General features: G+C 55.8%; 1 long non-coding RNA gene and 1 pseudogene across 1 annotated transcript, besides 1 other annotated feature; one reads left to right on the forward strand and one right to left on the reverse strand.

The window, feature by feature from the left end:
* Positions 1-11,873: 11,873 nt before the first annotated feature.
* Positions 11,874-20,296, reverse strand: LOC101060187 (uncharacterized). The gene is made up of 3 exons (XR_007067367.1): positions 20,248-20,296; positions 18,946-19,305; positions 11,874-18,324 (listed from the first exon to the last, which is right to left on the reverse strand). It is a non-coding gene; the product is annotated as an uncharacterized LOC101060187 (long non-coding RNA).
* Positions 14,245-14,746: an enhancer, noted in NCBI's record as "H3K4me1 hESC enhancer chr19:19858409-19858910 (GRCh37/hg19 assembly coordinates)". NCBI's record gives its function as "activates a minimal SCP1, AML or CMV promoter by ChIP-STARR-seq in naive H9 embryonic stem cells {active_cell/tissue: H9 hESC(naive)}" and the evidence as "EXISTENCE:reporter gene assay evidence [ECO:0000049][PMID:30033119]".
* LOC100533625 (sorting nexin 18 pseudogene) lies at positions 17,824-18,349 on the forward strand (annotated as a pseudogene).
* Positions 20,297-23,015: the final 2,719 nt, after the last annotated feature.

A 23,015-nucleotide genomic window follows, 5' to 3' on the forward strand; every position in this document is an offset into this window, starting at 1 on the left:
CAATTTCCAGAATTGTTTTCATCTTGCAACACTGAAATCTGTCTCGTTGCACAACTCCCCGTGCACCTCCTTCCCTCAGGGTCTTTTGCAACCTCCATTCCATTGTCTGAGTTCGTGAATTTGACTGTGGGAATCTCATGTAAATGGCGTCATAAAGTATTTGTCCTTTCCTGACGTGCTTATTTCACTTAGCATAATGTCCTCGAGCTTCACCTTGTAGTATGTGTTAGGATTTATTTCTTCTTTTTTTTTTTTTTTTTGAGACGGAGTCTCGCTCTGTCGCCCAGGCTGGAGTGCAGTGGCGCATCTCGGCTCACTGCAAGCTCCGCCTCCCGGGTTCACGCCATTCTCCTGCCTCAGCCTCACGAGTAGCTGGGAATACAGGCGCCCGCCACCACGCCCGGCTAATTTTTTGTATTTTTTTAGTAGAGACGGGGTTTCACTGTGTTAGTCAGGATGGTCTCGATCTCCTGACCTCGTGATCTGCCGGCCTCGGCCTCCCAAAGCGTTGGGATTACAGGCGTGAGCCACCACGCCCGGCCTCTTCTTCTTTTTTTTTTTTTTAAGAGACAGGGTTTTGCTCTGTAGCCCAGGCTGAAGTGCAGTGGTGTGATCATTGCTCACTGCAGGCTTCAACTCCTGGATTCAAGCAAGCCTCCAACCTGAGCCTCCTAAGTATCTGGGACTACACGCACGCACTACCAGGCCTGGCTAATTGTTTTAATTTTAATTTTAATTTTTGGTAGAGATGTGTGTCTCCTTCTGTTGCCCAGGCTGGTCTCGAACTCCTAGGTTCAAGCAATCCTCCTGCCTCGACCTCTCAAAGTGCTGGGATTACAGGTGTGAGCCACTGCCACCGGCCAATTTACTTCTTTTTTTTTCCTTTGGAGATGGAGTCTCGCTCTCGTTGCCCAGGCTGGAGTGCAGTGGCGCTCAGCCACCGCAACCTCTGCCTCCCAGGTTCAAGTGATTCTCCTGACTCAGCTTCCTGAGTAGCCAGGATTACAGGCGCCCACCACTACTCCCGGCTGATTTTTGTATTGTAGTAGAGATAGAGTTTCACCATGTTGGCCAGGCTGGTCTCGAACGCCTGACCTCAGGTGATCTGCCCTCTTTGGCCTCCCAAAGTGCTGGGGGTGTGAGCCACCTCGCCTGTCCCCAATTTACTTCTTTTTAATGCTTTATTTAAACATTTTTTAAAGAGTTCCTAAATTAGTCAGTTCCTAAATCTACATACAATAGAATAGAATTGTATTCTATTGTATGTAGATATCAAATTTCTGGATTTTTCTGGATCTATTTATCTTTCTTTCTTTTTTTTTTTTTGAGACAGTCTTGCTCTGTTGCTCAGACTGGAGTGCAATGGCGTGATCTCGGCTCACTGCACTCCACCTCCTGGGCTCAAGCAATCCTTGTGCCTCAGCCTCCTGAGTAGCTGGGGTTACAGGCATGTGCCACTATGCCCAGCTAATTTTTGTAATTTTAGCAGAGATGGGGTTTCGCCATGTTGCCCAGGCTGGTCTCAAACTCCTGGGGTCAAGAGATCTGCCCACCTTGGCCTCCCAAAGTGCTGGGATTACCGCATGAGCCACCTCGCCCGGCCTTATTTATCCTTTCCTGGACACCTAGGTTGCTTCTGCCTTTGGCTATGGTAAATAATATGTCTATGAACATGGGTGAACAAATATGTGGGTTGCTGCTTTCAGTTTTTTAGGGTATGCTCAGAAGCAGACTTCCTGGATCATATGATTACTTTGTATTTATTATTTATTTAAGGAATGGCCATACTCTTTTTCCTAGCAGCCATAGCATTTTCCATTCCCAACAACAGTGCACAAGGATCCCAAAAGGTGTTCTCACTTTTTTGGTGGTGTCCTTTGAAATACAAAAGTTATCAATTTTGCTGGGCATGGTGGTTCATGCTTGTAATCCCAGTACTTTGGGAGGCTGAGGCACGAGGATCGCTTGAGGCCAGAAGTTTGAGACCAGCCCAGGCCAACATTCCAAGACCCTGTCTCTACAAAAAATAAAACAATTAGTTGAGTGTGGTGGTGCACACCTGTAGTCCCAGCTACTCAGGAGGCAGAGGCAGGAGAATCACTGGGGGCTGGGAGGTTGAGGCTGCAGTGAGCCATGATTGTGCCACTGCACTCCAGCCTGCGTGACAGAGCAAGACCCTGTCTCACACACACACACAAAAGATTCATTCTATACTAGGCATTGATATGTTATTTATTGTTTTATTGTTTTATTTTTTGAGAAGGGTCACACTCTGAGATCACGCCTGAGCTGAAACTTAGAGTGAGGTTAGCCAACTCTTAGAGTGAGGTAAGGCTAGCTCTCCAACTTTAGCCCTTTTCCCTGTTTGCCTTTCTCTCTGCCATTACTGAACTGCTGGTCATGCCCTCCTCACCAATTTCTCTCTCTCCCTTTTTTTTTTTTTTCTTTTTTGACAGAGTCTCGCTCTGTTGCCCAGGCTGGAGTGCAGTGGTGCGATCTTGGCTCACTGCAACCTCCACCTCCCGGGTTTAAGCAATTCTCCTGCCTCAGCTTCCCGAGTAGCTGGGATCACAGGCACGCGCCACCACGCCTAGCTTATTTTTGTATTTTTAGTAGAGACGGGGTTTCCCTCTGTTGGCCAGGCTGGTCTCGAACTCCTGACCTCAAGTGATCCTCCCGCCAAGGCCTCCCAAAGTGCTGGGATTACAGGCACGAGCCATCGCGCCTGGCTGATTTAGGAACTCTTTAAAAAATGTTTAAATAAAACATTTTTGTATTGTCTTTTTTTTTTTTTTCTTGAGGCAGAGTCTTGCTCTGTTGCCCAGGCTGGAGAGCAGTGGTGCGATCTCGGCTCACTGCAACCTCTGCCTCCCAGGTTCAAGCGATTCTCCTGCCTCAGCCTCCCGAGTAGCTGGGATTACAGGCATGCACCACCACGCCTGTAATTTTTGTATTTTTAGTAGAGATGGAGTTTCACCATGTTGCCTAGGCTGGTCTTGAACTCCTGGCCTCAAGTGATCCACGCGCCTCAGCCTCCCAAAGTGCTGGGATACAGTACAGGTGTGAGCCACCATACTCAGCCAATTTAGGAACTCTTTCTAAATGTGGTAATACAGATACCTCAAAGCTAAAATAATATTCCCAAGCCTTTAACTTTTTACGTGATGGAATATTGTGTCTCAGCAGAATATTGAGTTGCCTTTCTTTTTTTTTGAGACGGAATCTCACTCTGTTGCCCAGGCTGGAGTGTAGTGCTGCAATCTCAGCTCACTGCAACCTCCACCTCCCCGGTTCAAGTGATTCTCCTGCCTCAGCCTCCCTAATAGCTGGGATTACAGCCACGCACCACCATGCCCAGCTAATTTTTGTATTTTTAGTAGAGACGAGGTTTCACCATGTGGGCCAGGCTGGTCTCGAACCCCTGACCTCAGATGATCCGCCCGCTTCGGCCTCCCAAAGTGTTGGGATTATAGGTGTGAGCCACCGCGCCCGGCTGAGTTGCCTTTCTTCTCAACTAAAAATAGGCCTGTTTGTATCACCTTGGCCATGCCTGTCTACTCTGTATTTTGATTCAAATCAAACTATCATAATAGTTATGCTAATAACACATAAGGTAAAGACAGGGTTTAATAAATTTGTTTATTATATCAGTTATGTGATCTATATAATTTCTCTTGTCTCTACTTCATTTTATATTCTCAGCCAAATGCCCAGTAGTGGTTTTATCTTTTTGAAGTGTGAGATTATCTCCCCACTTCTTCCAATTCTTCTTTCTTCTTTCACTCTTTTTTTATTTTATTGTTTTTTTTTTTTTTTTAGAAAGGGTCTCCCTCTGTCACCCGGGCTGGAGTGCAGCATTGTGATCGTTGCTCATCGCAACCTCGCCTCAAGCGGTCCTCCTCCCTCAGCCTCCTGAGTAGCTGGGGCCACAGGCCGATGCTCCCACGCCTGGCTAATTTTTTCATTTTTGTAGAGATGGGGTCTTGCTATGTTGGCCAGGCTAGTCTCAAACTCCTGGCCTCAAGTGATCCCCCCGCCTCCGCCTCCCAAAGTTCTGGGATTATAGGCATGAGCCACTTTACCTGGCCCCAAATGATGGCTTTCTTATTCTTTCATTTCTTCAACGTGGATAAAGAACTAAAACAAAACAAAACCAACAAAGAGGGGAGAAGGGAAGGAAAGCATGTTAATTTGCTGCTCAAATGCCCCCCGATGTGGTGGTCATGTCAAGCTGACTTAATGTTTTTTTGATTTGTCACTGGTTTCCTTTGAGCACTTCCCTACTTTCTGGCCTAACATAAGATGATGAACATGAGATGTTCCAAGCTTATCTTGTATTTTCTCTGCTCCAGCCCTGGAACTAGCCATTTTTCTTAGAAGCAGGGGTGGAGAGCACCCTCCCCCCACGCACCTTCACTAGGCCCCAGTGGGAAGAACTGCTGCCCATCTGCTCAGGTGTGGTGAAACTAGCAAAGAGTCTCCTGGCTGCCTGTGGAGAGTCTCTGTATGTGGTCCTCAGCCCAGCCTGGGGGCTCCTGGGCTGGCTACCATGCTGCCTCTACTGTGTCTCTAGATCCAGGCTCTGCTGGAAGAGCCCTGGAAGGCCCAGCAGAAGGGGGAGCCTGTCCTGACAAACATCCCTCTGTTCCTCTGGCTCCAAGGCTCAGGAATAGGGCCAGATGACATGTCCAGGTGGTGCCAGGACCCCTCACTGTCCCCTTGGAGATGGGCCCAGAGAGCCTTGTGGGGGCACCTGGAGCCTGAGGCTGACCGTCCCTCCCTGTGTCCTGGATGAGGAGCCCTGTCCTGAGAAGACCCCCAGGGGCTGGCCTGCGGGCGCAGCCACAGGAAGGGGAGGGTCTGTGGGCTGAGTTTGGGCGGGGGGCATTAGTAGAGGACTTTGGGCACTACGTGTCAGTGGTCTGATCAGCGGGGGCCTTGTCATTAGGAACCTGGTCAGGGGATGGGTGTGGTGGCTCATGCCTGTAATCCCAGCACTTTGGGAGGCCTAAGCGGGAGGATCGCTTGAGCTCAGGAGTTCTATACCACCCTGGGCAACACAGTGAAACCCCCTCTCTACTAAAAATACAAAAAGTAGCTGGGGGTGGTGGTGTGCACCTATAGTCCCAGCTACTCAGGAGGTGGAGGTGGGAGAATTGCTTGAGCCCAGGAGATCAACTCTGCAGTGAGCCAAGATTGTGCCACTGCACTCCAGCCTGGGCGACAGAGTGAGCCCTGCCTCAAAAAAAAAAAAAAAAAAAAAAGTAAAGTCCAAAAACAAACAAACAAAAAAATAGGAACCTGGTCTGGGAGGATTGGTTAACAGGGACTTGGTCATCCAAGGCCTGGTCAGTGGGGGCCTTGTCATTGGGGAACTGGTCAGTGGTACCTGGTCAGCAGGGACTGGGTCAGTGGGAACTGGTCAGCTGGCTGCTGGGTGACCTCAGGTAAACAGTTTGTCCCTGATGCCTCCTTGCCTCCATCCCTGAGTCACAGACCCCCAGAGGTCTACTGGGAGGAGGAGGTGAGAAGGTGAGTTGAATCCAGGCCTGCCCCTTAGACCTAGCACTTTACATACTACCTGAGTCCCCCAAGGGAGGGGCCAGCTCTCTGCCCTCTGCCTTCAGCCCTCTGCCCTCAGCCCTCTGCCCTCAGCTCTCTGCCCTCAGCTCTCTGCCCTCTGCCTTCAGCCCTCTGCCCCTACTCTGTCTGCATCCCCAGGACAGACCCATATGGAGAGGGCAGAGACTGAGGAGCACCCATGGATGCTCTGATGCTGACCATGGGCCCTAGGGTGACAGTGATGAGGACGTGGGTGTGCACGTGAGTGTGACACACACACTCACACAGATGTTCACCCACACGGGATGCTCACATGCACAGACACATCACACATACTCAGGTTGACAGTGCAGGGGGTGGAGGACGCTGACTCTCGGCCCTTTGTGGGTGCTGTGACCCCAAAATATCACCATGCCAAATGCCCACCTGCCTGCCTCTGTGTCACGGAGCAGTCAGAGGCACGCCAGTGTCTGTGAGTGCTGGGCACGTAGGGCTCTTTTCTAGGCAAGAGGCACATCTCCGAACAGCTGCCAGATCAGACTCAAGAGCATGACCTGCTCTCTTCCTTCCCTGCTGACTTGGGGACAGTCACTGCCTGGTGGGTGATGCTGGTCTCTGGGCAGCTGCCAAAGAGGGTCATTCCTGGGCACTCACCAGTGCTTGTTCTGTGCTGACCATGTACACGGTTGTCTTGTTCATCCTCGTGGTGACTCCAGGGGGTGGGTGCTGTCCCCAAGTATACCCATTCGACAGGTGAGACATCTGAGGTTATAAGGGCGGTCACTGGTCCAGGAACCCAGACGTGACCCTGGGCCATGCTCTCACCCCTGCCCTGTGCTGTGTGGGACTCACTCCCTTACGCGGTGCCCCTTATGCCCTCGATCCCAAATCTTTCCAAAATTTTTGACAGCAATAGGACAGAGCCTGGCCTTGGAAGAGCCCCTGTGGGTGGGGTGGAGGGTGGTCTTCCATCCAGGTCTGTGTCCTAAGGTGGGTCCCTGCAAGAGAAGATCTCATCAACCCAGACTTTGGGTGCAGTCAGTGGGGGTCGCTGTGGGACCCACTGGACATATGGGATCTCTTGTCTGGGAGTGGGGTGGGGAGCCCTCTGTCCTTGGGCAGTTGTGGAAAATGATGGCGCCCCGGAGGGTTGGTTGGAGGGTGATGATCGTTCCTCCTCTTCACCGGGAACTGGGGCTCTTCCGCACAAGGCCCTTTCTCTGTTCCTTTACGGGCCTCGCCCTTTCTTTGTTCCGAATGTTCATGGGAAGGGACCCTCTGGAGTTCTCCAGGACCAAGTCATCAGAGTTCTCATTCTTTCTCAGTGACCCCGGAACACGAGGGTCCTTCCTGTATTGACAGCTCAGAACTTGGGATCCACTGTCCCTTCACCTGAGACATCTTCATGAGCAGAGAGGCTGCATTGACCCCAAACCAAGCACCCTCCCGTTTGGCTGATGTTATTCTTGAAGCGGCTTCACTGGCCAGAGGGAGTGGAGATGGGGGTGAAACGGAGCAGTCACGAGGTGTCTTGTTCCCTGTAAGAAACTGGGCATCTTCATGGTCCCTGCGTGATCCCAGGAGGCTGAGCATATGGAGCTCTCTGATCCCTGACCCCAGTCTACCTGCAGGTGTCTGAAATAGCGCACCACAGGCCCCTCACCCTCAGCAGATGGACACCGTTCCTCCCTTATGTGCCTGATTTAGGGCATTTGGGGACAATGGGCCTCTGTGTCCAGGTCCCCCTGTTCTCAAATCCTCAGGAAGAAGCCCACCTCTGGCTGGGGCAGGGACTCCAGAGACCCCAGCAGGCATGGGGACCCTAGATCTGGCCCCTTTTCACCCGGAGCGGTGGTGGCATGGGGTTCACCTGGCCGGCGGCGTCTCAGAGTTGGGTGGAAGCGGTTTGGGTGTTCTCTGTAGCACCCAGGTGCAGTGTGGCCTTTGGACAATGTTGTCTCGCAGGATGGACATGGAAAAGGATTACAGCTGCCCTGCCCGCGCAGGAGCGGGACATCATTGACAAGTGTGAGCAGGTCCGGGTCGGGCTGTTCCCTCGAGGGAGGCGAGGCCACCCATCTCCAGCTGTATCCTGGTCGGAGTGTCCTGGGCTCCCTCCGGATGCAGGGCCAGGACCAGCTGCTGGGAACTTCATGCCCCCACACCCCTCACCTCGGCCCCCTCACCCTGAATCCCCTCTGGGTCACAGGGATGCTGAGCAGAGGCACCTGCAGACGTGGGGCCTGAGGATATTGACAGCTACAAAGTCACCGATCACCTCGGGATTCGGCAGTGAGTCCTCTGTTCCCACCCTCACCACCCAGGGATGGGTTTTTTTTTTTTTTAGAAAGGCCTCACTGAGGCAGGACACATCTCCCCAGCTCGTGCCAATCTCCTTTCTAGCGTAGAAACTCCTCCCCTGTCAAAGTCCTTTAAATGCTCAAACTGCCTGCTTTGGATTCTTATTGAACTTATACTCCACCCTGTGGTACAGGGGCTAATATGCTGGGCCTTTACCACTTCAGCCCAGGTTCGATTCCTGGTCAGGGAACCAGTGCCACTTGTCTTAATTTGCATGACTCTTTACCCTTTGAGAGGTGAACCCAGAAAATCCGTGACAGGTCTCAGTTAATTTAGAAAGTTTATTTTGCCAAGGTTGAGGATGCACCCGTGATGGTCTCAGGAAGTCCTGACGACATGTGCCCAAGGTGGTTGGGACACAGCTTGCTTTTTTTTTTTTTTTTTTGAGACGGCGTCTCACACTATCACCCGGGCTGGAGTGCAGTGGCGCGATCTCAGTTCACTGCAACCTCTGCCTCCCAGACTCAAGCAATTCTCATGCCTCAGCCTCCTGAAAGGCTGGGATTACAGGCACCCACCACCATGCCCAGATAATTTTTTTTTTTTTTTGAGACGGCATCTCGCTCTGTCGCCCAGGCTGGAGTGCAGTGGTGCGATCTCGGCTCACTGCAAGCTCCACCTCCCGGGTTCACACCATTGTCCTGCCTCAGCCTCCCAGGTAGCTGGGACTACAGGCGCCCGCCACCACGCCTGGCTAATTTTTTGTACTTTTTAGTAGAGATGGAGTTTCTATGTGTTAGCCAGGATGGTCTCGATCTCCTGACCTCGTGATCCACCAGCCTCGGCCTCCCACAGTGCTGGGATTACAGGCGTGAGCCACTGCGCCTGGCCCACAGCTTGCTTTTATACATTTTAAGGAGACATGAGACATCAATCAATATATGTAAGAAGTACATTAGTTCTATCCAGAAAGGTGGGGACAGCTCAAAGCAAGCCCCCACCCCCCGGGGGAGGTAGATGGAGGCTGAGAGATCAGACCTTGCGGGGCACTTGGGGACATCAGGTGGGACAGGCCCCAGGTGCACCCTCAGTGCACTGGGCAGGTCTCAGGATCCTGGCCTGGTAATGTGGTCACTCCCTCGAGGACTGCTTTTGGGGCCCAGTCACCCACCCTGGGCCATACACGTCCTTTCTCAGGACTGGACTTTCTCAGCTCCTGCAGAGGGCACTGCCTCTAGCCCAGGAGGGGCAGCCCTGTTGTGTAGCCCAAGCCCATGCTCTACAGGGCCCTAGTGGTCCCTGCCCCACCCACACACCCCTCTTCTCCCAGGTCCTGTCCCTTCACAGGCGTCAGCCCACAGGGAGACCCTCTTCCTACCTTCCCTGTGTGTCTCCTGGGCTAAGACCAGGGGTGGGGTGGGGAGAGACACGGCTGGTCCTTCCCTAGGACTGCTAGGGAAGGAGGAGGACAGCTCCCGGCCCAGCACAGGCCCTCAGCTCTGTCTGGGTTGCCTTACAGTGAGACAAAGCTGCCATCGATCAGTGCCCTGGAGGCAAAGGTAAGACCTGCTGCCTGAGAGGCTGGTCCAGGGACAGGAGGACTTGGCAGGTGGTCAGCAGCCCGTGGGCACCAGCGATGGTGAGTGGGAGAGACAGGCTGTCCCTGGGAGGGGTGGCAGTTCCTGCTGGACCTGACCCCAAGACTCTGTCCCCATTGGTTGTTTGACCAAACTCCAAACTGAGAACCGCAGTCACGGCTCGGGGGTTGCTGTCTGCTTGCACCAGGACCCCACCTGGAGGCTAGTACTTGACCAAAGTCCAGTGTCTGTGGCCTGAGGATGGCATGTCCCAGGTCGTGAGGCCAGGTCACAGACGCCTGTTCAGTCAGAGGGTCTCAGTCCCCGGGGCCTGCCCTTTCCTGGTTCTTTTTGTGGTTCAGTCCCGTCAGGGCCTCGGAGCCCAGGATACAGCATCCAAAGGCTGCTTCAGGAAGCCTTGGTAGCTCCGCTAACTTCTGGTCATAGTTGACAGCAAAGACGTCAGGAGATGAGAGGCACAGAGAAATGGCTCCAGATGCTTCAAGACGGGCAGGGATATAGGAGTGGCAAGGAGGTGACATGGGGAGGGAGGGCCCCCGTGACCGCTCTCTACAGAGTCAGGGGGATGGGCTCCCATGGCTGGGTCCTGGCACTGCCTGCCTCTCAGAGGGTGGGTGACACACTGTCCTCACCCTGGACAGCAGGTCTGGTCACCAGCTTTCCTGTTTGTCCCTGCAAACCTCAACTTGCTGGAGACAGTGTGATGCCAGGGCATGAGCCAGGACTATCTCAGGGATAGGGACACCCCCTGGCAAACCGAAGGAAGGAATAGGTCAAGATGAGAATTCATAACTCTGAATCGTGGGAGGGAGGCCTGGTCCTAGGTAAACTGCACATCCCCTGAAAAACCAACAAGTCAGAGACTGGAGACTTCCAGAATCCTCAGGCTCCGATCCTCCCTGGGGCTGCCCCAGACCCTGTTTCTTCAGAGTGTTCTGTCCCAAGTTGATAGACAGCGTGTATAAAGGCATTCTCCATAGATGTGGGGCCAAGTGTGGTCACACTTCCTGGATGTCGAGAAGGTGAAGGCCGAGAACTGGTGGAAATACGAGGTATGACCCTTCCGAAGTCAGCCAGAGGAGGACAAACAGGCCAGGCTGTGTTGAGAGCCCAAGCCTCCAGCTGGAGGGAACGCAGAGCCTGGGTTGAAGGTGGAGGGGGCATGGTCAGGCGGACATCCTGGGCAGAGACGGTGATGCCAGCACCAAAGGTGAGCTGAGCTCCAGGACTAGTTGGATTGTAAGGAACCAAGCCAGAGGAGGAGCTTTCTGCAGAAGGAAACCAACCTTCCTTCCTTCCTTCCTTCCTCCTGTCCTTTCCTTTCCTTTTTCCTTTCCTTTTTCCTTTCCTTTCCTTTCCTTTTTCCTTTCCTTTCCTTTCCTTTCCTTTCCTTTCCTTTCCTTTCCTTTCCTTTCCTTTCCTTTCCTTTCCTTTCCTTTCCTTTCCTTTCCTTTCCTTTCCTTCTTTCCTTCCTTCCTTCCGGGCTGCCTGTGGACGACTGCCGTGTGGGGCAGCCAGTCTTCTCTCTGTTCAGAGGCTGCTTCCTCTTCCTGGCCCTGCCCTGGAGGTCATGAAGATGAAGGGAAAGAGGTCCCCCCTGGAACTTCCACCAGATCAACCTGGATGTCAGCCATACACTAAGAAACCACATGATGTTTTGGCCACAATGCAGTGTCAATTAAGGCTTGCAGGGCTGGAGAGCCCTGGGGAGATGGCGTGAACCAGAGGGATGGGAGCTTCACCAGAGCAGAGGCAGGGGTCACCCAGGAGGGGTGACAGAGCTACCAAAAGCTTTCCAGGCCCAGGGAGCAGCTAGCACAATAGACTGAGTGCCTTCCTGGTTGCAAGCCCTGGGCCTGGCTGGGATATGTGGGGCCGGAGCCCAGGTGGCTCCCGAGGAGACAGAGAGCAATGAACAAAATCATGAGAAATGGTGGAAAGTTCAGTAACCTACGGGAGGGCGGCAGGATGAGGGGCTCGGGAGCCTTCCCAAGCCACACTGACGACACCAAATGCCGAGACGATGTGCGGTCCCGGGGACCTTTGTCCCTGCCAGGTGGGAATGCGACAGGGCACAGCCCCTTTGGGAACCCGTTGGGCGGCTCTGCACGAAACTCGGTGGACTCGTGCCACATGTCCCAGAAGATTCTCAGAGACTGATCCCACTGATTTGAAAACTGATGGCCATGTAAAACCTGCATGCCACGTCCACAGCTTGATTCACCGTCACTCACAGTTGAAGGCCACCAAGACAATCTTCAACCCGGGAATAGTAAAATCCACTTTCACCAAAACATTTCATAAAACTCAGTGGCCCTGAAGAGCTCACTGCTTATTCTGCGCATCATCTGGACCTGGAATTGGATTCCTTGTTGGAACACGATAGAGAGAACAAAACAGCATCCGTGTGAACCCAAACCCTCTTTTCTCTCTTTCCTAGGCTGCAGCATGTCTTTCTTGTCCTGGTGGCATATTGCACCTAATCCCATGAGTATTCCAAGGCAACAATATTCGCGGGTCACATTCCCATATTCATAGGCACGGGTGTCTTGGGTAGGGGGTGTCATTGCTTCTTTAAAATTCAGTATCTGACACCTACCAAGACGCAGCCGGTAGGACTCAAGCTCGCTGTTGGCTTGAACATTCAAGCGAGGCAGGGAGGGAGGGTCTCAGAGGGGTCATGCTGAGATGGAGAGGGCTCAGGCACAGACTCCTGGTCTGACCTGAGCCTGACCCCCAATCTCAGAACAAGAAATGACACCCTCCTCCTGGGCTTGCCCCAAGGTCCAGGAGCTGGTCAGTGTCCCAAAGTGGTCCTCCCAGGAGGCATTTTTGACAAGTTGCCAAAGTACCCGATGGACGTCGCTCTTGTCACGAAATGAGTGTGGATCCCGCGGAAGCTGTTCCTTCATTGGAAAACTGGCAGGGATCCAATGTCCCCTCCGCCCGAACCCCACTGGAGCGCAGCAGACAGGGAGGGGGTTCCTGAAGTGCCTGCTCCCACTGTGCCCCCAGTTTCCAGATCACTCCTGGAGGGACAGCCACTGAGCTGGCTCCATGGGCTGCACACACAGGGTCTGGACCCAGCCTCCCTCTCATACCTGGCAGGCAGCCCCTGGGTCTTCCCAGGACCCTGTATGCGGTGGGCCCCCAGCCCGCCCTGTTGGCCAGCCTAGCTCACAGATGCTGTCCCAAGCCTGGCACGGTGGCCTCCCTGGCCTGGCATCTGAGGGGGAGGGACATCCACGGTCCTCTCCTATGTCCTCTCGGGCCATGTGGGCTTGGACACTCGCTACAGGAATCTCTCTGGACTCCTTGTCAACTGAGACGTGCGTGACTTGCTCAGTCCTGACACCCAGTGTCAGGAGAGGGGTGAACAGGCTGCACCCCAAATCCCACAGGGCCTGTGGCAGGCCTCCTCAATGACATCAGTCCTCTCAGGTGACCTCAGCCCTCCCAGGTGACATCCTTCCATGGTGACTCTGACTCTTGCAGGAGCTGGGCTACTGCAGGGCCATGAGCTGCATTGCTGCCACTCTCCTCTATCTGCCCAGAAAAGATACCTTCTGAGTGGTGGCCCAGCTGCTGGCTGGTGAGAGGCACTCCTTGCAGGGTAGGTGGACAGCTGCCCATGGGGACTCACACAGCCAGGCCTGGGGATGGTCACCCTGGCTAGGTGATCTCAGCTTCCAGGCAAGGAGCCTTCCTTGTGTCCCCAGCTCGTTTGGAGCCTCTAGGATGTTGCCTGCTGTGGGTCATGCAGGAGCCTGGGACTGGATAGGGACCCCCACACCCTGAGTTAGATGCCTCTCATCCCCATCAGCAGAGGGCATCACAGCCTCCCTGTGGCTACCTTCTGTATCCCGGAGGCTTGGTCCTCCAACCCCGACTTTGCGCAGGCAACGCTCACCTCCCTGAGGGTCCTCCTGCCTCCTGGTGGCTGACTGTGCTCCTAGCCGTCCTCGTCACCCTCAGACAGGCAGATGAAACCCAGACAGTAATGCTTCCTCATCGCATGTCCCCTAGCCTGACCCTATGAATGTCCAGAAGACAGTAATGCACCCCCAGCACCCACCCCGCTCACCCTGCTGGCCCCTGCCTGCCACGTTCCTCCCTCTTGGCCTCCACGGCAGGCCTCTCCTCCTAATACCTCAGCTCAGGGCCCCCACTGGGCAGCTCCTCCCGCCAGGATCCCGGGGACATTCCTGCCCCTCCTCCCCTGGGCCAAGGCTGCATGCTGGAGGGGCCAGATGGGAGGGTGGGAGACCTGGGGGTCTGAGGACCCCTGCCAGTGCCAGCTCTTCCAGCTGACGGCTCCACGTCTTGGGAGCAGGCTTTGATTTTGTGATAGGTTGTGGGCTCTCAGGATTCTGCAGTTCAAATTGTGCCAGGCTCCAGAGACTCTAAGCCCACCCGGGACACGTGTTATGGACATCATCCCCGAAGCTTATGAGGACTTGGTGAGGAGACGGTCCCCTTGGCTCTTCCCCAGAGGCTTGGGGATCAGGGGTAGAGGGAGGTTCTGGCTCCTCCTCATAGGGGGTGAGAGGTTGAGTCCCAGCAGGGGCCAGACCTGGGATGTGGGGTTCTCCATGGGATTGTAGTTGGGTTTCCTTTTTCTGCTCTGGAGCAGGCAGAGGCTCTGGGACGGGGACTGGGCTCTGGCTGAGCTGGGCTAAGGGAAGTGTGTCCACCGAAGGTCCATGCGGGGGGCAGGTGTGGCGGGGTGCCCTGGGGACCGCCCAGTGTTCTGTCCCTCAGGGAAGGGCTGCAGAGGGGCCTGAAATAGGGATGTTTTGGGGGCAGCCCAAGGGGCCCTGAGCACCTCTGCTCCTCCCATCAGGACAAGGATGAGCTGCATGCCCAGAATTCCACGTTTACACTGGCTCCTCTGGTGCTTTAAATGGGGGTAATGAGGCACTGGAAGCTCCCAGTCCAGGGACCCTCCTGCCCCGCACTGCTTGGCTCCCCCAGCCCAGGGGTCCGGCTTCCCCAGGAGGACCTGGCTCACCCCCACCCAGCAGGAGGCACAGGCGGGTCCCCACAGGGCACACAAGCCAGGCAACACCTGAGAGGGGGCATCCCACAGCAGAGGCCAGGGCAGAACGGGCCAGGTCTCCACTTGGAAGAGCCCGGGGAAGTCCAAGGCCCTGGGGAGCCCCTCCCTCCAGGAGCTACATCCCTGCTGAGATGAGTCCCCTCCATGAGGAGCTGCAAGACCTCTTCTGACCCAGCCTCATGGTGGCAGCTCATCCCATGGGGACGGGTCCCTGGCACTCCAGGGGACTGAAACCACAGTGGGCCCTGCTTGGGCCACCAGCTCCCAGCCTGGAAGGGCCAGGTCCTCTCACACCTGCTGTCCCCACAGATCCCCTTCGGGTTCAGCCTGAAGATGAAGCATGCAATAATGGCAATGGCGCCCACGGCCTTCGAGGTTCACAGAAGCAAGTCCCCCTGTGTCTGAGGTTTCCTGGGGAACTCATGGGACACAGCCTGGCTGGCCTGAGGCCTCTGTCCCCATGACCTTCTGCTCTCATCAGAAGGGATGGCCAGGGATGGCCAGGCCTGGCCTGTAGGGCTGGGCAGGGCATAGTGGGTTCTCCCAGACCCTGAGCCCACCCTTGAAATGAGTGATCCATGTGAAAGGTGGGAGTGTGGTGGGAACCTCCCTGCCCGGGCCTCCCCCGGCCATGGCCTCCTGTGCACAGCTGGACCCCAGGGTTGGCCACAGAAGGACCCAGTGCTGCTCAGTGGGAGGTGGCAGTGTTGGAAACGGGGTGTGGGCACCAACCCCTTCCAGGAACCCCTCCCGGCCTGATGCCCTTCCTGTCCCTTGAGCGACCATGAACCTGTCCCAGTCCACCCTGTGGGAGGGAGTTCTTTCAGGACCGGTGCTCCCAGGCCTGGGCCCTGGAGGATGCCACAGTGCTCAGGCACTTTGAGGCCTTTGTGGGGGAACTGATGAGCCAGTGCTGGGATCTGCCACCCCCTCGTGGGCTCCAGCACCAGGTCCCCTCTCCTAAGTCATCCTCTGGAGCATTCGATAGTGGAGAGGGCCCCGGCCCCACCAGCCCTACTACCTGGCCCTTCCTCCTGCACCTCTTTTTCTGTCTTTTCCTCCTCTACACTAAGCAGCTTCTGGGCAGGTGCTGAGCGCATATGTACTGGACATGCTGCTCAGACAGGCAGGGACTGGAGAAAGAACCCTCAACGCCCCCTATGCTTTTTACATCCTCTCTCCTCTGTGCGAGCTCCCTAACCACCATCCCAACATCGACAGATGCTGAGAGGAGCAGGGGCCGCTCACTCCAGAATCCCCCTCCAAGGACGTCAGGGCAATAAGCCTTGAGCCAGGGGAAAAAGAGAATCAGTGTCACTGACCCAGAGGACTTGGGGAGAGGACACGGATAGGAGCCCTGGCCAGAGCCAGATCCAAGAGTTCAGCCAGGTGCAGGTGTGGGAATGGTCCCGTCCAGGCATGGAGTGGACGGTCCTGGAGGGCAAAGGGGGCCCCGTGCCTGGGACCATCTCACCCACTGTGGAGATAGTGTCTTGTGTGAGGTGGCAAGGGGGCTAGGTGACAGCCAAGGCCTCTCCCACCTGGTTCTGAATTAGGGCTGCTACCCAGGCCACACAGCCCTGGGATGAGGAGGTGAAGGAGGAAGTCTGGAGCCAGCCTGAATCCTAAGCCACAGCCCCAGGAGTGACGTGAGGTGCCCCAACAGCTCCCCGTGCCCTGAGGGATCCACACACCTCTTGCTCTGTGATCAGCAGCCTGCAGGGGTGTCCTCAGAGTCAGACTCAAGAAGCCACACAGGGATGCTGAGGACACCAGAGACCCAGGTCTGTGGGGCCCAGCCTTGTGAGGACTTAATGGACTTGGAGGAGAAGCTGACCGCTCGCATCTGCTATTTTTTCAGCCAAACCCAATCGAGGGTCCTTGGCACCCAGGCCTCTGTGAGCATACCCTGGCATTGAGCCCCTCTGCAAGGGAGATGGGCTGGCCCGCCCCTGCCTACCAGCTTAGCTCCAGGGGTCCATGCAGCCAGCCCCCTACCCCGGAATGCAACCCTGGTCCTCTCCCACCCTGACCTGGCTGGCAGTCTCCAAGACTGAGGCCCAGGGGCACGAAGGAGCTTCCAGAAAGCTCAGGGCAGCAGGTTGCTCTCTGGGGATCCTGAGGGTTCAGAATGGACCCATGCATTTTCTGAACTCCCTCCCGAAGCTGCCCAGAGACTTGGCTGTCAGAGGCCCGTGGTTCCCATTGTGCAATTTTGAACAGGGATGCTGTGCTCCGTCCCTTCCACATCCACCCTACACAGCCCCAGGACCATCAGTGGGGCCCAGCCCTGCAACCCCATCTTGGCCACAACACCAGGCCCTGCTGGGCCCCGTGAGAACTGAGAGGCAGGTCCAGAGATAAGTCCCTTGCATGGGGGCACTTGCATCGGACCCCTCTTGGTGGGCAATGACTAGCATGGCATGGAAGGAGCCAGGGCAGCTCCCAGCCAGTTGCTCTGCAGCCCCAGATGGCTCCTGGGCCTTATGAAGTCCCTCTCAACAGGGAAGCTGGTCCCTTTCAGGCTGCCAGAGGGAGGGGTGAACGTGGTGTCCTCCCAGCCCTGGCCAGCCAGGAGCATGCCCTGTGGCCTCTGATTTGACTTGTTGGACAGAGTCCCCTCCCAGGGCACAAGTCCTAGGTCCAGAGGGGCCCGGCCTCAACCCCAGCCCTGCTTGGTAGGGGAGGGCACCGGGGTGCCATGGGCCTTTAGCTGCAGCACCGATGGCCACGCAGGGGACATGGCACACCTCACCCGGTTGTTGTACCATTTCAGGTCAGAGAACCCCGGCAAGAACTTGCTGCAGGAACACGAGGTGCTGAGCCTGTGCGGGAGCAGGACATCAAGGGCTGCTCAAGAGCGTCCATGGCTACAGTGACTGTGGCCTCTTCCCAGCCTCATCTGTGCCGTGCAGGTGATCTATGACTCCAAGCTGGGACTGGCAGGTGATGGTGGCCCCAGCATCTCAGCCACGCTGCCAACATGCTGTCAGGAGGCTTCGAGGCCATGCCCGGTATGCTGCCCACCTCCTTGAGACCCCTTCCTGACACTTTCCAGCCGGTGCTACAGCCGCAGCACGTGCCACCACTGAATACCTTTCAGCAGCCGGTGCAGGCTTCAGACGGCAGGCGTGCCCGACAGCCGTGGCCTCAGCAGCTCTTTCGTGGCAACCAGGACAGTCAGGGCAGTGATGAAGTGATGATGCCTAGGACGACAAGTGGGATGGCAGCTCCGTGATGGTGGATGAGCCTAGTGGCGGTTCACACCTGGTCCTCAGTGGCTCCCTGAGCCCCCGTGGTGGCAACAGCTTGGCCACCATGAGGCGCAGTCTCAACCGCTTCCCCACCTGTCAAGTCAGGCAGGGAGGCCTTGTGCTTGGCGAGGCGTTGGGCTCTGTGAAGGACGGGGACAAGCTGTGCGTGGCTCTGTGGCTCTATGGCCTCAAGTGGCAGGAGAACCCCTACTCCTTCCAGTGCACTACCAGCGACACCGCTCAGTAGAACAAGTTCAAGGGCATGAATAGCGTCCTCTCCTGCAAGCTGGTGACCACGCACAGGCAGGTCCCAGTGCACGGCGCAACAAGCACTTGGACTGGCTGGATGCGTGTCTGGTGACATTCCTGGCTATGTCTGTGCCCCACCTACCTGAGAAGTGGGCCACGAGCTGCTTCCAGGAGGACTTCATCTCCAAGCACAGGTAGAGCACGATCTGCGGGATGAGCTACACGGCCGGCCGCCCAGTGCTGGCGCAGTGCCACGTCCTCCAGCACTTCCTGATGTGCCTCAGCAGCACCGAGAGAAGGCCTGGAAACAAGGCAAGAGGAAGGCCTTCTGTATGGCACAGCACCTCTTGAGGAAAGAAAATAAGAAAACTGCCTCCGATCCAAGCAGAGCAGGTCAGCGAGAAGGTGGGCATCACTTGGGGGAGTGGATGTGGGTATCGAAGACGAACACTGGATACGTGGCCTGGTCATGGGAGGTGGGTGGTGCGAGAAAGGTGACATGGTGGGTGCCAGCTCGTTCCTGACCCTGAGCACTGCACCACCACTGCCCTCGACCTGCAGGAGGTGGAGAGCATGATTGACAGCTTCATATGCTTTCTCAAGAAGGTGGATGACGGCGCTGCTGCTCAGCCACAGGGCATGGAGTTCACGGCAAGCAGGTGAGGGGCTTTGAGAAGGAGCATCGGCAGGGGGCCAGCCCTCCCGCGGCCTCAGCCAGGCTTTGGAGTGGGCCCAGCAGGCCTTCTGGGTGGGCCTGAACCAGCCCATCAACCTTCACCGGAGGTGCCTACAATACCATCGTCAAGCTCTTCCCAGATTGGCCCAGACAGGACCTGGATTCTGTCTCGGACCTGTTACTGCTGTCCAAGCAGCAACGCATCAAATTCCCAGACATCCTCCACGTTCACAGAGGAGCTCTTACCAAAGTCACGGGGAGCAGGAGACTCGTGGGAGGAGGAATGATGGAGGTGCGGGGGCTGATGGCGTTCAGGAGCGTGGGACACGAGTTCTTTGGCCACTTTGGCTGAAATTCACCATCTCCATCCAATTCGAGGGAGAGGTTTGAGATCATAGATGCAGCACTTTTTACCAGAGCAATACATATTTTTCCAAAAATCGATGTAGAATTTGAAAGCAGCTCTTTATAAAGATGAGAGTGTTGAGTGACTGGATGTTGGATTGGGGACTTTTTCCAGTTCAAGGATAATTTCCACAGCAGAATAAAAACTGCTATCAAAGAGCCATGGCCAACTATTTGTGGTAGTACAAGGATGGTTTTGTGCTCAACTGAGGCCAGTTTAGAATAGAGAATTATGTGGGAAATAAACAGAGAACATGGCGATGGAACCACGTGTTGTAACTTCGTAGGCATCCATACTATGGAAGTTCCTTCCTTCTCTCCTTCCTGCTGTCTGTGCCTCCTCCCAGCATCGGGCATCTCCATGTCCTGGGCCTGTGCCGGGAGAGATATAAAGGACACCATTGGCTATAGGCTGGAGGACTGGCACGGTCAGGGGAGCCCGTGAAGTCAGAGTGGCCCCTGAGGACCAGTCCTGGGATGACTGGGTCCAACTGACCAGGCCCCTGCTGACCAGGGCCCCATGCACTGGGCCTCTGCCATGACCTGGCCCTCACTGAATGGGCCCTGATGACCAGGACCCCACTGAAAAGTCCCCCCCTGATGAGGCCCCACTGACCAGGCCTTACTGACTGGGCTCCCCGTGACTAGGCCCCGGCTGACTAGGCAGCTGCTCCACCCCCCAGCCAAGCCAGGCCCCCACTGATTGGGTCCAATCATCAGTCAGCCAGTGGCCAGAGCTGCACCGACCAGGTCCCCGCTGATGAGTTACTTACTAACCAAGCTCCTGGAAACCAGGTTCGCACTGACCAGGCACAAGACCCCACTGACTAGGTCTTCATGACAAGGCCCTCGCTGCCCGGACTCCACTAACTAGGCCTCATGAATGAGACTTTGACTGGTAATGTCTTTGCTGGTTATGCCTCCACTGTCCAGGCTTCCAGTCATCATGTCCCCTTGGGCCACGTCCCTCCTGACTGAACAGTCCCCCAGTGTCTATTCCCCGCACTGACTAGGCCCTCACATCCAAGTCCCACTGACCAGATATTCTGGCCAGGTTTTCACCGACTAGGTCCCACTGCCAGACTCTAAGAACTAGGCCCTACTGGCCAGGCACCCTCTGACCAGGTTTCTGCTGACAAGAACCTGCTGAAAGGTGTTCGCTGAGTAGGTCAGTCCTAACCAGATCATCCATGATCAGGTCCCCACTGATCATGTTTCCACTGACCAGGCCCAAAAGGACTAGGCCCCAGTGACCAGGCCCATCACTGAGCAGGCGCTGCTGACATAGAACAGGCCCCCACTGTCAGGCCCCCACTGACTAGGCCACAATGACTATGTCTCAGCTGACCAGGCCCTGATGATTAGGTTTAATGGACAAAACCCTCGTTGACCAGGTCCCACTGGCCAGGTCCCCACTGACCAGGTCCCCATAGATGAGACTCTGAGTTACCAGGACCCCACTGACCAGACATCTACAGACTAGGCCCCAATAACCAAGACCCACTGACCAGGCCCTCACTCACTGGGCTCCAACTGATGAGATTCTGACTGACCAGGTCCTTAGTGACCAGACTAGGTCACTTATTGACTAGGCCCCACTACCCAGGACCCCAATTACCAAGCCCCCACTAACCAGGTCCCAAGTCACCAGACCCCCACTAACTGTCCCAACTGACAAGGCCCCCACTGCCGAGGCTTCCACTGACCAGGTCCACACTGACCAGGCCTCGAGAGATGAGGCCCGACTTACCAAGAACCCACTGACCAGAGAGACCTCCACTGACTGGGCCCAACTGACAAGGGCCCCACCGACAGGGACCAACTAACAGGGTTCCAACTGACCATGTTTTTACTGACCAGACTTTACTGACCAGGCCCCACAGCTCAGTATCCAGTGACCAGACCCTCACTGACTAGGTCTCACTGTAAGGCCTCAAGTGACCAGGCCTCACTATCCAGGACACACTCATGAGGCTTCTACTGCCAGGCCCCCACTGATTGGGCCCAACTGAGGAGGCCCTCACTGACCAGGTCCTTAACTGATGAGATTCCAACTGACCAGGTCCTTAGTGACCAGACCTTTACTGACCAGCCCCTACTAACCAGGACCCCACTGAACAGGTCCTCACTGACAAGATCCCAGTTGATCATGTCCCCAGTGTCCAGGTTTCACTGACTAGGCCCCACCAACCTGGTCCCCTGACAAGCCTCCAACTGACCAGGTCTCCACTGACTGGGACCCAACTTACGAGGCCCATTAGCCAGGCCTCACTGACCAGGACTCCACTGACTGGGCCCCATCTGATGAGGTTCTGATTGACCAGGTCCTTAATGACCAGGCCTTTACTGACCAGGCCCCACTACCCATGAGCCCAGTGACCAGACCCTCACTGACCAGGTTCCACGGCCAGGCCTCCAGTGACCAGGCCTCACTATCCAGAACCCACGGATGAGGCTTTTGCTGCCAGGCTGACTGCGCCCAACTGACAAGATTCCAACTGACCACTTCCTTCACTGATGAGGTCCCAACTGACCATGTCCTTAACTGACAAGGTTCCACCTGCCCAGGTCCCAACTGACCAGGTCCTTAACTGATGAAGTTCTGACTGGCCAGGTCTTTAATAACCAGACCTTTACTGACCCATTAACCGGGACCCCAATGACCCAGAACTTTACTGACCAGGCCCCACTAGCCAGGACCCCAATGATCAGGCCCCACTGACCAGGCCTCAATTGATGAGGCCTCAACTTACCAGGACCCCAGACCACCACTGACTAGACCCCACTAGCCAGGACCCCCTGATGAGGCCTCCACTTCTAGGCCGCCACTGACTGGGCTATACTCACAAAACCCCCAATCAGACCTCCAGTGACCAGTCCTCACTGTCCAGGACCCACGGATGAGGCTTCCACTGCCAGGCCTCCACTGACTGGGCCCAACTGACAAGGCCCCCTCTGTCAACGTCTCCACTGACTGGGCCTTAAATGACGAGGTTCTGACTGACCAGGTCCTTACTGAACAGACCTTTACTGACCAGGCCCCACTAATGAGGACTCCAAAGACCAGGCCCCCACAGACAAGACCACAGTTGATTATGCTCCTGGTGGCCACGTTTCGCTGACTAGGCCCCACTGACAAGTCCCTCACTCCCTAGGTCCCCATTGACCAGGCCCCAAATGATGAGGCCTCAGCTTACTAGGACCCCACTGACCAGACCTCCACTGAGTAGGCCCCACTAGCCAGGCCCCACTGATAGGCCCCCCAATTCCAGACCCCACTGACCAGGTCCCTCCACTGACTGATGAGGTTCCCACTGACCAGGTCCTTAATGATCAGACCTTTACTGGCTAGGCCCCACTACCCAGGACCCCAGTAGCCAGGTCCCCACTGACCAGGTCCCTACTGAACAGACCTCCACTGACTGGGCCCCCATTGCCAGATTTCCACTGACCGGGCCTCATTGACCAGGTTTCCACTGACCAGGACCCCAATAACCAGGTCACACTCACCAGGCCCCCACTGACCACATTTCAGCTGACCAGGCCCATGCTGACCAGGACACACTGGTGTAGCCCCAAGTGACCAGGCCCTCTGACCAGTCCTCTCTGACCAGGTCCCCGCAGACCGGGTCCTCACTGACCAGGCACCTGCTCACCAGGCTTCCTCTGACTAGGTCTCCAATGATTGTGTCCCCATTGACCAGGCCCCCACTGACCAGGTGCTATTGACCAGGCTGCTGCTGACCAGGTCAGCACTGACCAGACCCCCACTCACAAGGACCTATTCGCCAGGCCCTGCTGACCAGGTCCCACATGACTCCACTGAATAGGTTCCACTGATGTGGCCCCAATAACTCAGCTATATTAGTGTGTTCTTGCATTGCCATAAAAAAACACCTGAGACTGGGAAA

Source organism: Homo sapiens, chromosome 19 (genome assembly GCF_000001405.40).
Source record: "Homo sapiens chromosome 19, GRCh38.p14 Primary Assembly".
NCBI classification, from domain to species: Eukaryota; Metazoa; Chordata; class Mammalia; order Primates; family Hominidae; genus Homo; species Homo sapiens.